The sequence below is a fragment of the Homo sapiens genome, chromosome 5 (assembly GCF_000001405.40).
Source record: "Homo sapiens chromosome 5, GRCh38.p14 Primary Assembly".
NCBI lineage: Eukaryota > Metazoa > Chordata > Mammalia > Primates > Hominidae > Homo > Homo sapiens.
Genome location: NC_000005.10, coordinates 90157462 through 90176221, shown reverse-complemented (window position 1 = coordinate 90176221; position 18760 = coordinate 90157462). Strand labels below are relative to the sequence as shown.

Below are 18760 nucleotides of genomic sequence, written 5' to 3'. Positions count from 1 at the left end.
TTTTGTTTTTTTTTTTTTTTTTTTTTTTTGGAGGGTTTTTCCTGTCTCTATCTCCTTCAATACTTCTCTGATCTTAGTAACTATTTCTTGTTCTGCTATCTTTTTGATTAGTTTTCTCTTCCCTCTCTAGCACTTTTAATTGTGATATTAGGGTGTCAATTTGAGATCTCTCTAGCTTTCCAATGTGGGCATTTAGTGCTATAAATTTCCCTCATAACACTGCTTTAGCTATGTCCCAGATACTCTGGTACATTGTCTCTTTTTTTTCATTGGTTTCAAATAACTTTCATAGCTTCCTTCTAGTAACTCTCCACTTATTTTTCAAACCCTTTACCATATCAGGCATTTAAAAAAAAGTTTTTGAAATGTTTTCTCCTGGTGTCCTCATTACTTATTTTTCATCTTTTTGTTCCTATGTGGGAGAGTGATTAACAAGCTTGCTATAATGTAGTAAGCTTAGAATAAGAAATATCTCCTTGGTTGAGTCAACTGTTTCTTTTTTGGTGTAATTTTTTGGCTTATTTTTGGCTTACTCGCATCTTTTGCTGGATCACATTCCCAGATAACTTCCTAAGAAAAGGTGTGTGTGAGGAAAATTGTACGAGTTCTTACCTGTCTGAGTATGTCTTTATATTTAAACATATTATTTATAGTTTAGTTAAATTCTAAAGATATAAACATTGAAAAGTGTTTTCCCTCAGAAATTTGAGGCATTGCTTCAATTTTCACTCTTTAATATTCTATGTTGTTGAGAAGCAGCATTCTGAATTCAAATTTCTGTGTAAGAGTACTGGATATTGCTTCATGGAGGGAAATTTTAGCGTCTCTTCTTTTTTATGACATTCTGAAATATCACTAGAACATGCCATGGTATGATGATTTTCATTCATTCAATAATAATTCTATTCTTTTAGTGGGGTGTTGGGAGCTAGAGACCAATCTCAAAAACTTTGGAAATTTTATTTGTACTTTTTTTTAAACAACTTCTTTCTTTCCATTTGTTCTGTTCTTTCTTTTGTCAGATGGTGAACCTCCAGTACCACAGTGTTATATTTTATAAAATTTCTGTCAGACTTTCCATCTCATATTTTTTTTCTCTCTTTTTGTTTAATCTTTTGGGAGATTCATATATTTTATCTTTTAACTCTTTTTAATTTCACTTATATTTTTTAATTTGCCAGAGGCCTTTCTTATTATCACTTCTTTTTTTTTCATAGCACCATGCTTCTGTGTAATAGATGCAATATAATTGTTAAAGAATTTTAAAAAATGTTTACAGTTTTAATTGTCTTTGGGGTTGTATATTCTTTTTGATTCTTATTATTCTTTTTGTCTTTTTCTTGCATCTTGAATGTTTTCCTCAAGTCTGATAATCTTGTCTATACTTAAAAATAAGACCTCAAAAAGTTAAATGGGAAATCTATGTTTTTGGATGTGGCTCATGGACTGGAAGGTATTGTCTTACAGTTATTATGTGAAGAGCTGACACTCATGCTAGAAAAGCCCTATGGATCAGAATGTGGTCTTTCTCTAGGCTCATTCAGGTTCCTATAAAGGAAGAGCATTCATTCTCTTTCCAAGGACAGATACCTGGTTTCTAGAGTTTTCTCTAGCACATGGCAGGTAAGTCCAGAGTTTCGAGGGCTAACCGACCTCTTTATTAGATGCATTCTCCTTGAAAACTTTCTAATCTGTGGTTTCATCTACATAGTTATCATTCCTCTATTTTAAGATTTTCAACAATTTTGTTAAAATTTTTTGTCTGCCAATGGCCCCTCTCCAGATTCTATTCTGGGCGCCTTGGGCAGTGTAGGTGGAATCTTTGTGGGACATTCTGTCAGTGTAATTTGGACATTGTTCTCGACTAAGTAGCACTTGTTATAGGTTCATAGCTTTTCATCTCTTTACTTTTATTTTAGTGAGGTTTTGGAAAAAGCACAAGTACATTCTTCTGTATATTCCTCATCTGTAGCTCAAACTTAAAGCTTAATTTAATACTGAATTTCTCTATAAAACTTTCCTTTCTTAACTTCTTTATCCACTCTGATAGAGCTCTCCTCAAAATCTTTATTGTATTAAAATCAATCTTCTCATTATACTACTTATAATTCTTTAACTATTTTCTCTATGTTATTTCTAAGATTTTCAGTCTAATCATGGCTTATACTTTGTTTGAATTTCTCCAGCATGAGTAATTATACTGGATAAGTAGTGGATTTCTTGAAAGTAATTGTTGATTGATTGTATTCAGGAAATGAAGGAGAAAAAAGATAACACATGACTGATAGAAGCCTTGCTATTTGGTAAAATGATGGCAACATTGGCAGAGATAGAGAAGTGGGAAAGGAAAGCCAGTGAGTTAATGTAGTGGATATTTGTCAGACCTTTTTATTTGTATAGAATCCTTGGATACCCTTTCTAGTTTGAGGATATTTCTTACCTTCTTAGTCTCCAGGGCTGAGGATAGTAATTCATTTTCCCAGCCTTCCTCATAGGTATGACAGAGTCATGACTGAGCTATTACCAATCAGATGGCCCTCAGTGAGACTTCAGTTCAGAAGTAAGCAATGGGAAAAAGTAGGCACAATGATTAACTCATTTCTGGTGAAGGTGGTGGCTGAGACCCTGCCCTTCTGGGGCAGCAGTAGAACAATTTCTGATGTCCTGTGCTGAGTGCCCTGGGCAGTGTGGCTGTGGTTTTTGCTGGACAGTCTCCGAGAGTGGTTTGGGCATTAGTCTTGACCAAGTAGCCACCAAACCTGACTCTTAGGTCATCCTGAAGACTCAGTATACATTCATTCTTTAAGCATTTTTTTTATGTCTGTTTACATTTAAGAACCATGAATGATTGAATGATAAAGCAAACAAGAAAAAGAATGCATATATGAGATGAAATACAGAATAAGACAAAAGTAAATCTCATAGTTTTTTTTTCTGAAACATGTAAACATGTGTAAAAAATAATCCAAGAAAAATAGGTCTCTGCCAAAAAAGTAGAACCAAAAATAAGAGGATAATAGACGGGTAGGTTTAATATCAACCATAGCTAAGGAAAGGAAAGGAAACGTAGCTTCCCATTTTAAAGTACAGTGGAAATGGAAGGAACCAGGAGTACTTCTCTGATTTGGTTCTGGGGTAGACGGTGCTATAGGGCCATCCTGAGGAAAGTCTGTTCAACATCATGAGTGTAGAAAATGAGAGAACAAAAATTAGAGGGATTTTTGTTGTTGCTTTTCTGTTATAAATATTTTTATCCAAGCCTGAATATTTGAGAACTCTTTGGAGACTAAGCATATTACTTCTTCCTCAAATACTTGTCAGGTTAACGTTGTTAGTACATATGTAATTGCTTATTGACATTTCTTCATTTGTTCCCCCACTTATTTGGCACTGCATAAAAGACACCATGCTCTGAGGGAAGGTAAATGCCTGTTTGCCTGCTACTATGAGTGAGTTGGCCTGAATTAAAGCAGACAAGGAAATAGATTGCTTGGATTGGAACTTCTGTTTTTACTATTGTCCAGGCAGGCTTGGTTAACCCAGAAAGAGAGAGCAAGACAAGAAAGTTGATGTACATGTATGTAGGAGAATATGTCAGAGGAATATATTAGATGAGGCATAGGAATGGGAGTATATGTAAGGTAAAGAAATTTGTTTAGTTTTAAACATGTTGGGATTTCATGGGTTGAGGCAATAAAGTGTAATTGGGACAATGAAACTGAAGCTTGGGTGGAAGTTTATGCCCAGAGACAAATGAAAATCACTTACAAAAGACAGTCAGTGAAGCTGGAACAACTGATGCTATTTCAAAAGGAGAGAGTACAAAGGCAGAGCAGAGGACCTGGTACTGAGCATTGGAGGAAACCTCTATTAAGGGGTATTGAAAGCGGATCAGCCCAGAAAAAGAATGAAATAATCAGAACAGTAGGATGAGAAGAAGAATGGTGTGTTTCCATGGAAATCATAAGAAGTTCAAGGAGATTCTTTAAAACGGTCCAATGTTATAAAACTGTGAAGATCTTCAAGCACTGTGCTTTGTATTCTAATCTGCCTATTTCATGACACATGGATGAGGCTCAATAAATGTTTGCTGAGTGTGTAAATAGTCTAGGAACATAAGAAATGGGAAAATAGAGTGATTATCTTTTAAGTGAAATTGTAGTAGATTGGGATGAAGCAGACACAGGTTTAGGGATTTAAGGAGAGAATGAGAATATAGGCATAGAAACAGTTGTCCTAGACCACACTGAGAAATTTGGGTAGGGAAAGTGATGCATAAAACAAATCTTATCAGAGGAACAGAAGAATCCAGTTAAGAGATATTATAAATTCAAATAGACCTTTGAGTGACTAAGGGTCCAAAGGAAGAAGCCAGTGGACAGATAGGAATTTAAAATATTGCAAAGAAACTATTATATAAGGAAAATACATGTATCAAAACTTTTCTATCTGGGAAATTATAGAAACAGCATTTACAGATGTACTTCTTTGGATACAATGCCAGAAACATATTTCAGATTGGTCTACTTCCAGTCATAGTAAAGTTCAGAACCTTAAACCACTGGATTTTGCAACTTCAACAGCCTCATCTTCCTTATTTTGCAGAACAGAGCCCATGAACTAAGTTTGATATTAAAGACAAGTTTAGTTCAAGAATTGGCAAAAATAAGGATTAGCCAAAGTTAAAGTTACTTTCAGTTTGGTTTACTAATGAACTGAACGATGCAAAAGATATACACAAAATTCTGGGCACAAGAGTAGATGCAACTTATTGATGCTCCCTTTGCTTTTATTAGTTGAGGTACAGCTTAACAAAGTAGCCCTCATCCACAGTGTGTTAACAGTGATTGAAGTTTATTTCTCTCATGGAAGAGTATATAGATGAATGATCCAAGGCTGTCAGGAAAGCTTTATCACCCAAGGTTGTTTACCCAAGGTTGCTAAAATTATCATCACTTCTTAGCCATCAACAGGGGGACAGAGAAAATTCAAGGCAAACCATCTGCATAAAGGTGCATTGGAAGTTGTACACATCCTTTCCACTCACATCCTGTGAGACCAAACTTCGTCATATGAGTACACCTAGCTACAAGAGAGGCTGAGAAATGTAGTCTGTAGCTGAGCATCCATTGCTGTTACCGAATTTTTATTCTTCACAGTCCTCAATTAACATTGCTGCTCCAAAGCATTAGTTAGGTATTTCAGATGAGAGAACTGAGGCAAAGAAAAAGACAAGCAAGATGAATACTTGCTGAAACATCACGAAATACTGAATACATATGAGAGAGATTAAGTACAGATTTACAGAGGTGTCTATTTAAAATGACAATTCTATTTGGGTGTCTGTTTAAGTTTCTACCATGCAGCATTTTCAGCCAGTTTGTGTCTGTTGTCTCTGGTCAATTAAAATTATTCAGCATCAAAATCCTAGCTCTAGGACCAAAAAGAAAAAAAAAAGAACCTAAGAAGCATTCACTGATAGTCTGATTCTGAACAACCGCTTTGCCTCTGGTCTATTCATGCATATTTCAATTGGCATTAATATAAAGTACCAAGTGGGCTCTCTTCTACATGAAATCCTTGTTCTCAACTTGGCAGCAATCCTGGCACTAGGTTCTAAATCGTCATTCTGGGATGGTAAATCAGCAATCCTCAGCTGATGGGTCTAACAATGAGATTGCTGGAGGCAGGTGGTGTTGTAAGGCCTAATTCTGTTGGCATTAAGTGACCATTCATATTTGCTGCAGGAGCAGTAAATTGCACTGTTTTAAAACAGGAAGTCTGAGTTAAAAGCTGTGCAAAACCATTATACTGTAGCCAGCACTCCAGGCTCTTCTAATTAGGTCATTTGGAAAAAGATGACCTTTTAGTTTCTGTGCCTCTTTGCTGGGGACACATGTTTCTAATTATCAATTGTATTTTACTTCACTAAAGCTGTTGACAAGCTGAGCATTTTTTGTGTGCATGTATGAGTGTGTGTGTGTGTATACACACTTTGTGAAGTTAATAACATTTTTGTGTTCTAGTATTCTACAAATAGAAGATGAAAACAATGTGTGCAGTAATTTTATTGTCAGAGCAACCAAAAATTCTAAGGACTTGAATGAAGAACACACTAAGGGACATTTCTGATGTTCCTGGTGCTTTAGGCCAACTTGACTTTAACTTTGTCTGAAGTCACTGTATCAATATTTATTCTGTTTAGATCTGGCAAGTGGGTGTGTAAGACAAAATGGAGAAATGGACTTTGGTTCACACTGTTATTGGAAAAATAACTGCAGGTCATGCTTGACATTCTGTCCAGGACCAAAACCAAAAATCTCATGATGCTCTTTTAAGGCTCACTTGTCCTTCTGCATGCTGTTTTTGGAATGCTTACAAATGCAAACAAATACTGTCTTCTAATAACCACTTATTCCAAAAGAAGCTCAGAAATAAAGGGACAATATGAGTATCTATGGTTCTAATATATAGTCTATATTTTAGGAGATAGTCTAGGAAGTGAGGCATTCCCTAAGGCTGGCTTCTCCACTGACTTTCCTTTCTGTTTCAGGGACAGTTTCTCAATGTGCTATCGTTTTTCATCAGAAATCATAAAATCACAGAGCTGGCAGGCCTTTGAGAAGGCTTCTAGCTCACAGTCTGCCTTGAGGCCTTTCTGAACTCAAACTCTCCTGGAACATAATGCTCTACTCTTAACAATCTCTCACAAGGGAAAGTTGACAAGGAATGATGGTACTATCTAAATGTTTAATATATGAATTACTCTGGCAGTTAGAAGAAAATGTATGGAGGATGATTTGAAGTTTATTATGAAATTGCTAATAATTTATTCAACTCAATTTTCCCTTAGAAGTTCTATGGTAGGTAATGATGGTTCTCTCATAGAGCATTTCAAAGTCTGGAAGGAGCTGGCAGTCATTGTATGACAGAGGGCTGGCAACACGCCAAGGTGCCCTGCAGTGGGGCCCTGAATGGCATATCCTGGGCCAGTTTCAAGTGAAGCTAAAAGGTGGGTGAAGAGTTTCTTAATTTGGGCACTCTCTAAAGTCTGAGAGTTTTCTGCTTCTCTGGTGATCCTAGAACAATTGACTTCTCATTTTCTTTATTCTTACACTCGGTTGGCAGCTATTTACTTTTGAGAGATTAATCAGCAATTAAAGTATCTGTTGCTACTCCTGTAGAAAAGAGGGCATATGAACAGATGGTGGGGTTGAGACATGGAAGTTCCAGGAAACACTTCCTCTTATCACGCAAATAGCTAGTTATAGTTTTATTCATGATGTGGCCATGAGAATGCACCTTGCTGACCTCCCAGTATAAGGACTGTAACTGACCTTGGCTGTTGCACTCTGAATCTATGGCTCCGTTTACTTTGAGGCCACTCTTCCTAAGGGCTTTGCCAATTAAGGGCTCAACCAGTGACTAGACCATGCAAGGATACTAAAGCATTTCATTCCTGGGAGATGCCAGATTCTTCTGACAGCCAACTTGACTCAATAACTTCCCTGCTGCTTTGCAGAACCTCCCATATGCTGTTGGGTGCTCTAGGAAGCTTCTGCCCCACCTTATTTCCCCCTATGCCACTCTCAGGTTGTGGTATCTCACTGCTCTCCCAGTCTGCCCTGGCTTCCTTCACACTTTTACCTACTTCCTCTAAAGACATCCTTGACTAGGTAATTCTTATTTCCTCAGACACAGTGAACACTAGGCCGTGGTGCTTTATAAAACTTTCTTTGAAGGCTTGCGGGTGTTAGAGAATAACAGTGTGAAAAGGGAAAACTTACAGCTGGATGAAATCCCACCAATTCCAGATGCCATCTGCCATGCTCAACATGGGGAGCACCATTTTGACTGGCTTTATTTAGCCTCTTGCCTACTGTGACATTGCTGAGCGTTATTTTATCTCCCTCTTTAGAAGAGAATTCCCTCAAATCAGTCCTTCCTGGAAATCTGGGACACTTCTTGACTCTTTCTTCCTTTCTCACTCAACGAATTTAAGAATTTAATAGGAAGTTAATATCATACCAGTCTCTGCAGAGACGCTGTTCACAAAGCCATCAGTAGGGCTTAGAGTCTGAAATTACCTATTTCAAAATAAGATCTTGACTTTTCTTTTGCATAAGTCAAAGGATTATTAAAGTGATTTCCCTCAAACAAGAAGCAATCTGGCATTTTTTTTTTGGACAGGGTCTCTCTCTGTTGTCCAGGTTGAAGTGCAGTGGCATGATCTCGGCTCACTGTAGCCTTGACCTCATAGGATTAAGCAATTCTCCCACCTCAGCCTCCACAAGGTGTGTACCACCACACCTGACTAATTATTTTTATTTTTTTGTAGAGACAAGGGTTTCACTATCTTGCCCTGGCTGAACTCAAACTCTTGGGCTCAAGTGATCCTCCTGCCTTGGCCTCCAAAAACTCTGATTACAGGTGTGAGCCACTGCACCTGGCCAAGCATTCTTGCCTTGAAATGTTGTATTGCTTTTACTTCTGGGACAGAGTTTCTCAAATTTGACACTACTAACATTTTGGACCTAGTAAATTCTTTGTTGTAGGAGATTGTCCTGTTTATTGTAGGATGTTTACCAGCATGCCAATACTACTATCCCAGTCAAGTCAGCCCCAAATGTCTTCAGACCTTGGCAAATGTCCCCTGGGGGCAGATTCACCCTTAGTTGAGAACTGCTGCCCTAGAGCAATAGGCACAAACTGAAGGCAACTTTTTAAATAACATTTTGCCTCTATAGGGATGAGCAGCTGAATTGCACATTTGAATGGTATTGTTAACCAAAAGGATAAAGTCTAAGGAAGACTGTGTGTGTGTGTGTGTGTGTTTGTGTGTGTGTGTGTGTGTATGCGGCAATCTACCTCTATTAATGCCAGGAAAAGTGAACTTATTTACCATCTGAATAATATTGTTGACTAATGCAGAAAAAACACTGAAAATTTCACACTTTACTAAACATGCCACTCTGCTAAAACATTTAAGTGTGTATAGGACTATATATTATCTCCAAAGGTAACAGAAATCTCCTGTTTTTATCTTTACTTTATTTATGATAAGACATTTGCTTATATGCTATAGGCACTTGGCTTTTCAAGGTCTCATTCCCTGGGTGTGTCTAGGATGCCTGTGCTCCATGGCATCTTTGTGATGCAGGCTATTTACCTGGAGGATAGCTTATACCTGTGGGGCTGAGGGCAAGGTCTGTAGCTGACATTCCTCTGGTTATGCATGACACATTACTTCTGTCTGATTCTTTGTACAATTCCCACCACCTGGCCCTGGTTGATGTTTCAGCCTTGCTGGTGAAGCAGTCTGTTTGCTAGAGTGGCTAATTGTGGTTATCTCAGTTTTGGCCTTCATTTGAGTATGACTCCAAGAGGCACACAATTTGAGGGGTGACTCTTGTGGTAGATGGGTGGAGATGAAGCTCTCTGTACCTTCTATGCTCATTGTAGATTAGACCTGGAAAACTTCTGAAAGTTGATGATCTAAGAATTGGGAAAGATACAAAGATCTTAGTTACCATGTGGGTCTCTCCTGAAGAATTTCATTCTTTGGTTTATACATATACCCTCCATGGTATGACATTTTGATCAAATGAAAGATCTAAGAAATACACAATGAAGCAATTGCAGGATGATGTAAAATGGAATAGGGCTAAACATCAGAATACATGGCAAGCACAGCAATTGCTGTCAGAATTCACAGAAGTGGGTTATTGTTGAGGGTAAATTTGATATGGGAAGTGTTCCAGGAGTCTTTGGGACTTGGGTTAGGCTTTGAAGGTTGGACAGGATTTACATTGACAGACAGAAGAATTTGTGCATCACAGACACTGGGTGCACGTGTGTTTAAATAGTGTGAGCAAAACCTCAGAGATAGAGCCAGCTTGGAATGTTGCTGGGGGGTGTACTTGACGGGGATGGAGGACTTTAGGGAGAGGATGGGGGACAAATTTGGACAGGTAGAATGGGGACCATCCTGGGGCATTTATTTTGAGAGCTTTTGGAAATTTCAAACAAACTTTTCTTCTGTATCTGCAATAACAGCATAACCGACAAAATCTGATGTAGGGTGGTACTCACTGTTCTCAAAACAAGTTTCACCAAAAGAGCATTGCAGGAAAAAAATCTGTTTACTGAGAGAGCAAGGAAACCAAAGTGTATTTGTGAGAGCTATGTCCTCTGAAAGTGAGCAAGGACTTGTGCAAAAATAAAAGTAGCTCTTCTTTGTGAGTGATGTGCATAAAAAATGAGTTACTAAGAAACCTGAGTTAATGCTTGTGGACATTGAATGGCATGGACTTACATGGCTCAGAGCATCTCACAATGCTGAGCAATTGGCAATGTCTGCATCAGAAACTGGCCACACTTACAAGAGGTAGGACTCGACTATTGACTTTTACAAACTATTGATCTTAAATTATCATAGGCTGATTTTATAGATACAAAGAATGTTGGCAAGGGTGCTTCTAGAGTTTCAGATTATCTTAACTATATATAATTAGCTCTGAAAGACTGTGAGTGAGGGTGGGTTATGATTTTTAAGTCCTTTTCTTTTTTAAAAAATCTGGTTGCTTTTCATCTGCTTTGAATTCTCCCACTTGAAAATTTAGGTTCATAAAATTCCAAAAGAGACTGAAAAAGCTAAGTTTCAATTAAAAAAAGAAAACATAAATGTTACTTCCAAACTTTACCTAAGATATTGCTTTTAAGAATGATCTGGCACTAAACTGACTGCAGAAGGTTATTTATTCAAACCCTGCCTTGTTCCAAAGATAGCTATTAAGGCATTGTTCATCACTGGGGAACCTTCTTGGAGGCACACACACACACACACACACACACACACACACACACACACACTTTTTTCTCCAATAGCTCATTATATTTAATGACCCCCAACATGGAGATAATTTATTAGATTATAAAGATTGAAAGCTGGAAAATTTGGGGGGAAAGGCAAACTTTATCTATTTTTTATCTTTCTATGGTGAGAAGTTGGGAAAGAAAGGAAGGCAGAATATTTGTTGCATCTCTGTCTGTGAACAGTGATGATTTGGTAGCAAGGTCAGCTACCTCATTGCCGGCATCCTTAGTCAACAGTGAAGAGGCAATGGCTGGTTCTCACATGAGGATGGCTGTCTCCCTTATGTTGTTGAGAATACCAGAAGAATCATTACTGCACATGCTTAGGTGTGTGTGGCCAAAAGAGCTCTGGCCTTGGATCAGCCAACCTGGGCTGCATTCCCTAGCTGTGTGACCTTGGATGAGTCACATAGATTCTCTGTGCCTCAGTTTCTCTTCTCTTCACTGAGGCTGCTTCTCTCAGAGGCCCCTTCTCTACTGGAATGCCTTATTTTATCCACTAAATCTGTGCTTCTGAAATTCTTTGAAATCTCCTCTTTCATCTTAAAAACTAATAAAATTTTGTACTCATTTGTGTATGTTTGAATATAAAAATAACATTTTAAATTAACAGTGAGTCCGGTGGATGCTCTGGTAACATGTGCCTCCCCTATCCTGTGGCTTCTCTAATCCCCTGGCATAGAACAGCATAACCCTGAAGGCACTTCAGTTTGAGGATCAGGGGATTAAGCATGGTGAGGTAATCGCTGATTTTATCAATCAGAATAGGGTGGGTTAAACTGTGTTAAGAAATAATTCCAAGAGTTCAGTGGCTTAAAATAACAAAGGCTTGTTTCTTCTTCATATTAAATCGCCCCCACTGGTCATTTGGAGAGCTTGGCTTCTTTCACTCAGGACCTTTGCAGAGCAAGTCTCTGTCTCTGTTTTCGTCATGATCTGTGATGAGCAAGGTAGGACAATGGAGACGCAGTGGCTCATTCTCTGGCTCTTAAGTCACTCACATTTCATTGGCTAAAACAAGCCAAGGCTATCCCTAATTGCGATGAAGAATAGGAGAATGCAATTCTATAAAGTTCCAGAAGATGGAGAGCCAGAAAAATTTGGTGAACAGTACTAATAACTACCACATCAGCTGAGGTCAAGAATAGGGTAGAAAGAGGTGCCTTGAACGCAGGGTTGTCTTGGAGGTGTCATCTGAAGATGACCAACTACCCCTGAGTCTCTTCACAAAGGGAACACACACAATGAACTCATGGCTAATTTGTGTTTCCCTTTACTATTCACACACACTTTGTGTCACAGTATCTTTCTCCAAAGACAGTATGGGATTCTGGATTACATTAGAATCACATGCTAGTCCTGCTTCCCTGAGATCACTTCTGGAAACTACCTTGATTGGAGTTCTGGATTTTTTAGAATCTTTTGGCTGCACCTCACAGACAGTTTCCTGCTCGGCTTTCTCTCACACCTGGTGAAGCACAGCTATTGTCTCTAAGTTCCACTGGTTTACAAAGCTGCCTTATCTTCAACTTCTTAGGAGGTGCTTCATTATCAAACAAAGAGGACAGACCCCTTCTTTTGATGCTAATGTTGTTATCAGGAAGGAGACAAGGTAGCTGTACAGGAGAGAGGGCCCTGAAAACACACACAACCGCTTTAGGGGCTCACTGTAGCCAGTCTGCGTAGAATCTTTTCAGTTGCCCTGGGTCTCTAACTCTGCTTTTGTTATAGTCAAGTGCTGTAACAGTTCTGTACTTCTTCCCTCCATCTGCAGCATGTCTGGTGACCATTAGGGAACATTTTCTGCATTTATCTTTTGTAACAGAGTGCCAGGCACTACAGAAAATCTGAGGTAAACTAAATTATTTCTATTTTTTGAGGCTTCTGGAGTATTAAAATAAGTAATACCAAAAGAGCATCATAGAAACTGATGAATTTTAAGTTGTTGGATGAAATGCTTCTTTTAAAAACTCTTGCCAGTACGTCTATGAAAATTGAGGTATAACCTTATTTGGAGATGTCATCAAAAATCTAAATTTGAGGCCTGTTTTAAATATGAGGCTTATGCCAAATGGTCCTCTTGGGTCCCCCTTCCTCACTCTTCCTGTGATAGGTCCTGAAAGTAAGTGTAAGACGTTCTGTTTGCCCTTGAGACACTCAAAATCTATTTGGGGAGTCAGTATTAAAAATATAATACAGAGGCTAATACAGGTAAGTATATAATAAAGTGCTAAGTTGGCAGCAGATACTACAGGTATTTTTAAGAGCTCAGAGAAAGGAGGGATTACTGTGGCTAGTTGAGTCAGGAGTAGTTTTGTGGAAGAGATGGGGAAATTGATACAGGACAAAAGGATTTTAGGAACAATACCACCAACAAAAGATGTTGACTTCCTTCTATCAATTTACATTCAAATAAAACTGGCTCTACTTTATGAGTTTCCACTTGTTGGTCCAGTCTCCATTCTCAGCCTGGATCAGAACTTTTCTGAATCCTATATAATTTAAGCCCTGTGTTGCTAATCTTTTGAATTAAGTTAATATGTGAACCACTAGCCACCAGGGATGCAGATTTGAGAGCAAACAATGGACTCTGCTCCCTCTTTCCTTTGAGGCCAGGAGGGAGCTAATAGCTTTCCTTGCTGGGCATGCAGAACCAGGAGGGGGATGAGCAGCATGGATGCTGAGTTGATGCAGGCAAGCCTTCTGGAAGGGCTTCTGAAGCTGCCCTGTCTTTGAAGTGAGTGAGAATACCTCACGTGGAGCTATCCCGAGGATTGACAGGACCAGACCCACAAAATTTTCTAGCTGTAGTGGGGCCGTGAGCATCCCCTACAGCTTCCCCTTTGGACAGCAGAAGCCTTGAGAGCACACCCCATGGAGCCACCAAGTCTGCAAGAGCAGCGGGGAGCAGTTACCACCAATTGAATTCTACTCCCTGCTGTGGTGCTGAGTGGAGGGGGCTTCTCATCAGATGGAACTTTCATTCCTTCTAAGAGGATATATATATATGTATAGTTTTTCCTCTTAAAACCAAAGTTGGAATATTTATTTGAAAATGAATTCCTAGACTCTGGTTTTAGTTAAAAATTTCCATAGGGAACAATAGAACTATAGTACATTTCTAATTTAAAACTTTGCATTGTTGATGAAGTTTTGAAAATAGCAGAAGTAGGCAACCCAAACATCTGTTACTTTAATTTTTTTTCCTCCCTCAACTTGTAGCAAACTTGTGGCACTAGTCTTGGAATGTGGGCACTGTCTCTGATCAGTATTTTAGGGAGTTTTGGAATGCACAAGAAAATATAGATAAGATTCTTTGCTTAAAATTTATAATGCATTGCAGATTGCACTGTGGGTTTCTGAAACAACGAAAAGTCATGGTGGGTTTTAAAGCAGTTTAGAGGAATAGCTCAGATCTTTGATGCAGGGCACTTAAATTAATGCTAGTCACAACATAAAGCTCAAGTTCAAAATTTATGTCTCCCTCTGATTACCACACATCAACCTACTTGAAATGGAGATGAAATTGCATTTCTCTGGGGGAAACATGGTGCTATTTTGATGATCAAATGTATTGGGAACAGAGGTTCTTGTTAGCCACGTTGTGTGTGGTGTGGGGAAGTTTCAGGCAACTTGGCGCTGGACCAGTGGGTGGAGGTGGAGCAGGGTGGCCATTACAATTAGAGCCTCTGGTGAGGAAGAGGGGGCGCCAAACTCTTAGTTTTCATTGAGCTGGGTTACAGAATGCACTAGCTGCCTGGGCCATGGCTTCTGTGTCACTGGGAACAGGCAGCTCACTGTGTAGGTCCAGGAAATCTGCAGCGTCACAGCTTATCCTTCTAGAGGAAGCATTGGTCAAGGATTTACATTCTGGAATAAAGCCCTGTATTTCACCATTATTATTATTGTTATTACTATTTTCTGGCAAAAACTTCTTAAAATGAATGTGAAATTGAGATGATCATTATGTAACCAAAGTGCTATCGCAATATAACCTGCCAAGAAGTTATCATTCTGCTCAAAATATTAAAGGTCATTTTCATCCCCTTTTAAAATGTCCTTCTGACCCTGCCACCCTGCGTTGGGCAGGCTGCAGCCTGGCAGGTATAGGGCTGGGAGGCCACACCGAGATGGTAGTGTTCTTTGATCACCTGCCATGAGGTACTGGGCAGATCTAGTTGGGAATGAAAGATGACCAGGTAAGCTGGCTTGGTCTGGCACTATTTCTAAAGGAGAAGCTATAGAGGTATTGGTGTTTGCAGTTAGATGGCTCCTGCCAAGATGCTTTCTGTGCTGACTAGGTTCACTTCTTTTCAGGGCTCTGTCTCTTGGGCAGACCTTTAGGTCTTAAGCAGACAAGTCTGCTTGGCTCCTTCAGCTTCACAATGGGCCCTGTTTTTTCACAGTGAGACATTTTCTCTTGATAAAGTGAGTGTTGATCTTCCTGGGAAGAGCAATGGAGGGAATGTAGGTTCTAATAGGTTCTGGACATTCTTCCCACTTCAAAAAAATGAACTTCTTTTTCTCAATTCCTAGGGCCTGGAGTTTTTTCCTATGTACTTCTCTTATGAAATAATAAGCTTCCAATAGGTGTGCATTATATTTCTAAGGCAGAATTAAAAACCAGATATCTATTAGTTTGGAAATCCAGGGTCTGGCTGTTATAATGACTAACCTGTTTTTATCTCTGCAGAAATTACTGTTTAATATTATATCATGTTGAATTTTTCCCAATGGTAATCTTATGATGGCTGCAGCTACCTGTTAACTTCAACAAGCACACTGGCCTGGAGACTACATGATGGTGTATCAGTAATGGTAAGAGCATCCTTTTCCCTAGTATTACTAGGTAAGTTGCTACCTACCTGAGAAGCATCTTATATATGGATTACTAATTTAGTTCCTTATTTCTGGCTATAAAAGGCAATTGAAATATAGGCTTGCCAGAGATTAAGGAGAAAAGTTAATGGCCAGCCTCTACTTTTTCTTACTTTAGAAGTGAAAACAGTGGTTATTACTATTATTAATTACAACCAAAACAACCACAAATTTAAGCAGCCTTCCAGACAACTTAAGGAGTATTTTTAAATAATCAATTTTACTTTAAAATGTTTAATTAAAAAGTTTAGAGAAGAATTTCCAATTTTGGTCATTGCTCTTAAACAGTGATGTGACACAGTTTATCTTTTCTGCCTTTCCCTCCATGTCCTCTCCTAAGAGCAGGTGCCTCTCCATCATTGCCCATCAAAGACATTTCTGATGCTCCAGAAGGATACCCTTGAGGTCATCCTGTTCTCACCTCCAATATTCATTATGATCTCTAACATCACTATATACAACATTTTTGTATATATAGAATAATTTCTGGTGCCTTCATGTGGTTGGGGGTTTCTTTACATGAATATTTGCTCTTTATCCTTAGGCCTTCCTCTTGGCTTTGCTTTTGCAGATATATTCACACATATGATTATACTCATGTAAAATACACATGCCTATATGCATACAATTGTGTACAAATTAATGTACATGACTCTCAGTAAAATTTTGTTGAATCAATTAATAAACGTACACACACATGTGCTTGTGTGTAAAGGGTGGTTTGTTTTGCTTGTACTCTATAGATGAAGGCACTGAGAATAGTTTTCTTTTGTCCCTGAAGTTTTTATTGTATAGCTTCAAAGATTTTCCTTGCTGGATAATTTCTTTTAAGAAATTTTGATGAAAATGTGCACAGCAATTTTGACTTACTTGTAGGTGGAAAGAAGAATAATTTTTACACTTTGAAGCAATTTTGGATTTTTTCACACGTGGATAATTCTCTGAGCTTTCAAAGCAAACATTTCAAAATTTCCTTTTCTTCAGATTGAACTGGTTGAAAGTAATATTATAATGTTTGTGCCTTGCTTTTTATAATTACTTATATATGTACACTTATATTTATGTAATTAATGTTACTATACATTTCTAATTGCTAATTAGTTGCTTACTTTTTCAGTGCATTTTAAAATGCTCTGAAATCTATTCATCTATATATCTATCCTAGGGACAAAGGTAATATTCTTTTCATTTTTGAATCTCTGGGAAATTTATTTATTTGCTTTTAGCAGTGGAAAGAATTTTATTTTTTGTCTAAGTAGGCATTTATTTTGAGGTAAATATAAAACATAAAATTTTCCCCAAAGTCTATTTTCATATTACCTTTTAACTATGTGCTAGTAATGGGTACAGGGTTACTGTCACCCTCACCCCATCCATTTTACCCTAGAATGGTTGGCATTATGTGGAATTGGTCCTCTATGCAGGTGAAAGCCTGCCCATGAAGTTTACAATAGCTATGAAGCCCTATGGAGGGAATTAAAAATTCTCTCCCTTTGAAAGTGGAACATCCTCCACCAACTGGTAAAAATAAGCCTTTTTTTTTGTATTGGAAGAACTTCAGGGATTCTGAAAACTAGGAGGAAAACATACCACACAGTCTGCGAATACTGTGTTTAGGAAGGTTTGACAACAGAGGGAAAAAAGCCTGTTTCAGGACTCTCAGGCTGGGAGGTAGCTGTTTTAGTGGGGCTATTGAAATCTGAAATGACCTCTTTTTATATCTTGAAGAACTAAATCTACTGCAAAAAGGTAAGATTTTCAAGTTGTAATAATAAAGACTAAATTTTAACTTATGAGGTCTTTCAGTATACTAACTCAACTCTAATTCGATATTATTAGTAAACTGGATAATAGTTTAGAGTATACTGAATAAAAAAATGTAGTAAACAGGCAAAATATTGTTATGACATGAATCTCATGTATTGTATTCCCCTTCCTTCTCTGTATAGGATTTACAACTGCAAACATCTCAAGCAGCAGTGCCACATCCCTGCTACCTCCCTGCTTGTGCGTGTGTCCCTACATTATCCAAAATAGGGGTGGGCTAATGACGATTGCAGGCTAACTCCAGCCTACCACTTGCTTCTATAAATAAAGTCTTATTGTACACAAACATAGCCATTTATTTAAGCACTGTTTGTGGCTGCTTTTCTGTTAAACATCAGGGTCGAGTAGATGAGACAGAGAGCATGTGGTTTGCAAAGCTAAAAATATCCTTGCCCTTGTAGAAAAAGTTTGCCAACCCCTGACCTCAGATATTAATTTTCTTCAATTGATATGAATTTGCTTCACTGATGGTATCATAGAAAACTGTGATGTGTATTCCTTCTCCTGTGACTTATCTCTTTCTTTTGATAGGAAAACTAAAAGCAAAACAAGGAGACCTAAAAAATGGGGCTGGGGGAACTCCCAAAACAAAAACAACTAAAAATCCTTAAAAAATTTAAGAAGTGCTGATCAGAATCATGAAATAGGCCCATTAAAATATACTGATATTATTGAAAAATGATATTTTTGCCCAACAACATAATAAGAAAAGAATACTTAGAACACTTACATTCTCTTTCTAACTTTGCCATTCTTCAACTCAGAGATCAGCAAACCTTTCTGGTAGAGGACAAGATAGTAAATATTTTAGGCTTTGTAGGCTATATTTATTTTGTTTTATATACGACAAGTGGTGGGCCACATTTGGTGAGCAGGCCCATAATTTAACTACCTCTTCTCTAACTCAGTGGTCTTGATAGACCACAGCTTATACAGGCTGCATTTTCAGAACACTGAAATCAACATGCCTTTCGAGTTTTAATGATTTTCTATCTTGTGTGAATCAAAACCAATGTTGATAAAATCCACTACATTTTCCATGGATTGTTTTCTTACCATGTGGAAAACAGAGTCAGAACAATACAGGGGAGACAGCATTTCCTGCTGTATAAGTTTCTATTGCTGGGTAATAAATGACTTCCAAATGTAGAAGTGTAAAAACAACAAATATTTAATTTTA

At 38.1% G+C, this 18760-nt stretch overlaps 1 long non-coding RNA gene across 1 annotated transcript in view; it reads left to right on the top strand.

Annotated features, from left to right (window-relative positions):
* The window catches only part of LINC01339 (long intergenic non-protein coding RNA 1339), a 131733-nt gene extending 113850 nt beyond the window's left edge, over positions 1-17883 (top strand). The window contains exons 5-6 of the long non-coding RNA NR_120601.1: positions 15633-15693; positions 17703-17883. This is a non-coding gene — a long non-coding RNA (long intergenic non-protein coding RNA 1339). The remainder of the gene's footprint in view (positions 1-15632; positions 15694-17702) is intronic.
* Positions 17884-18760: the final 877 nt, after the last annotated feature.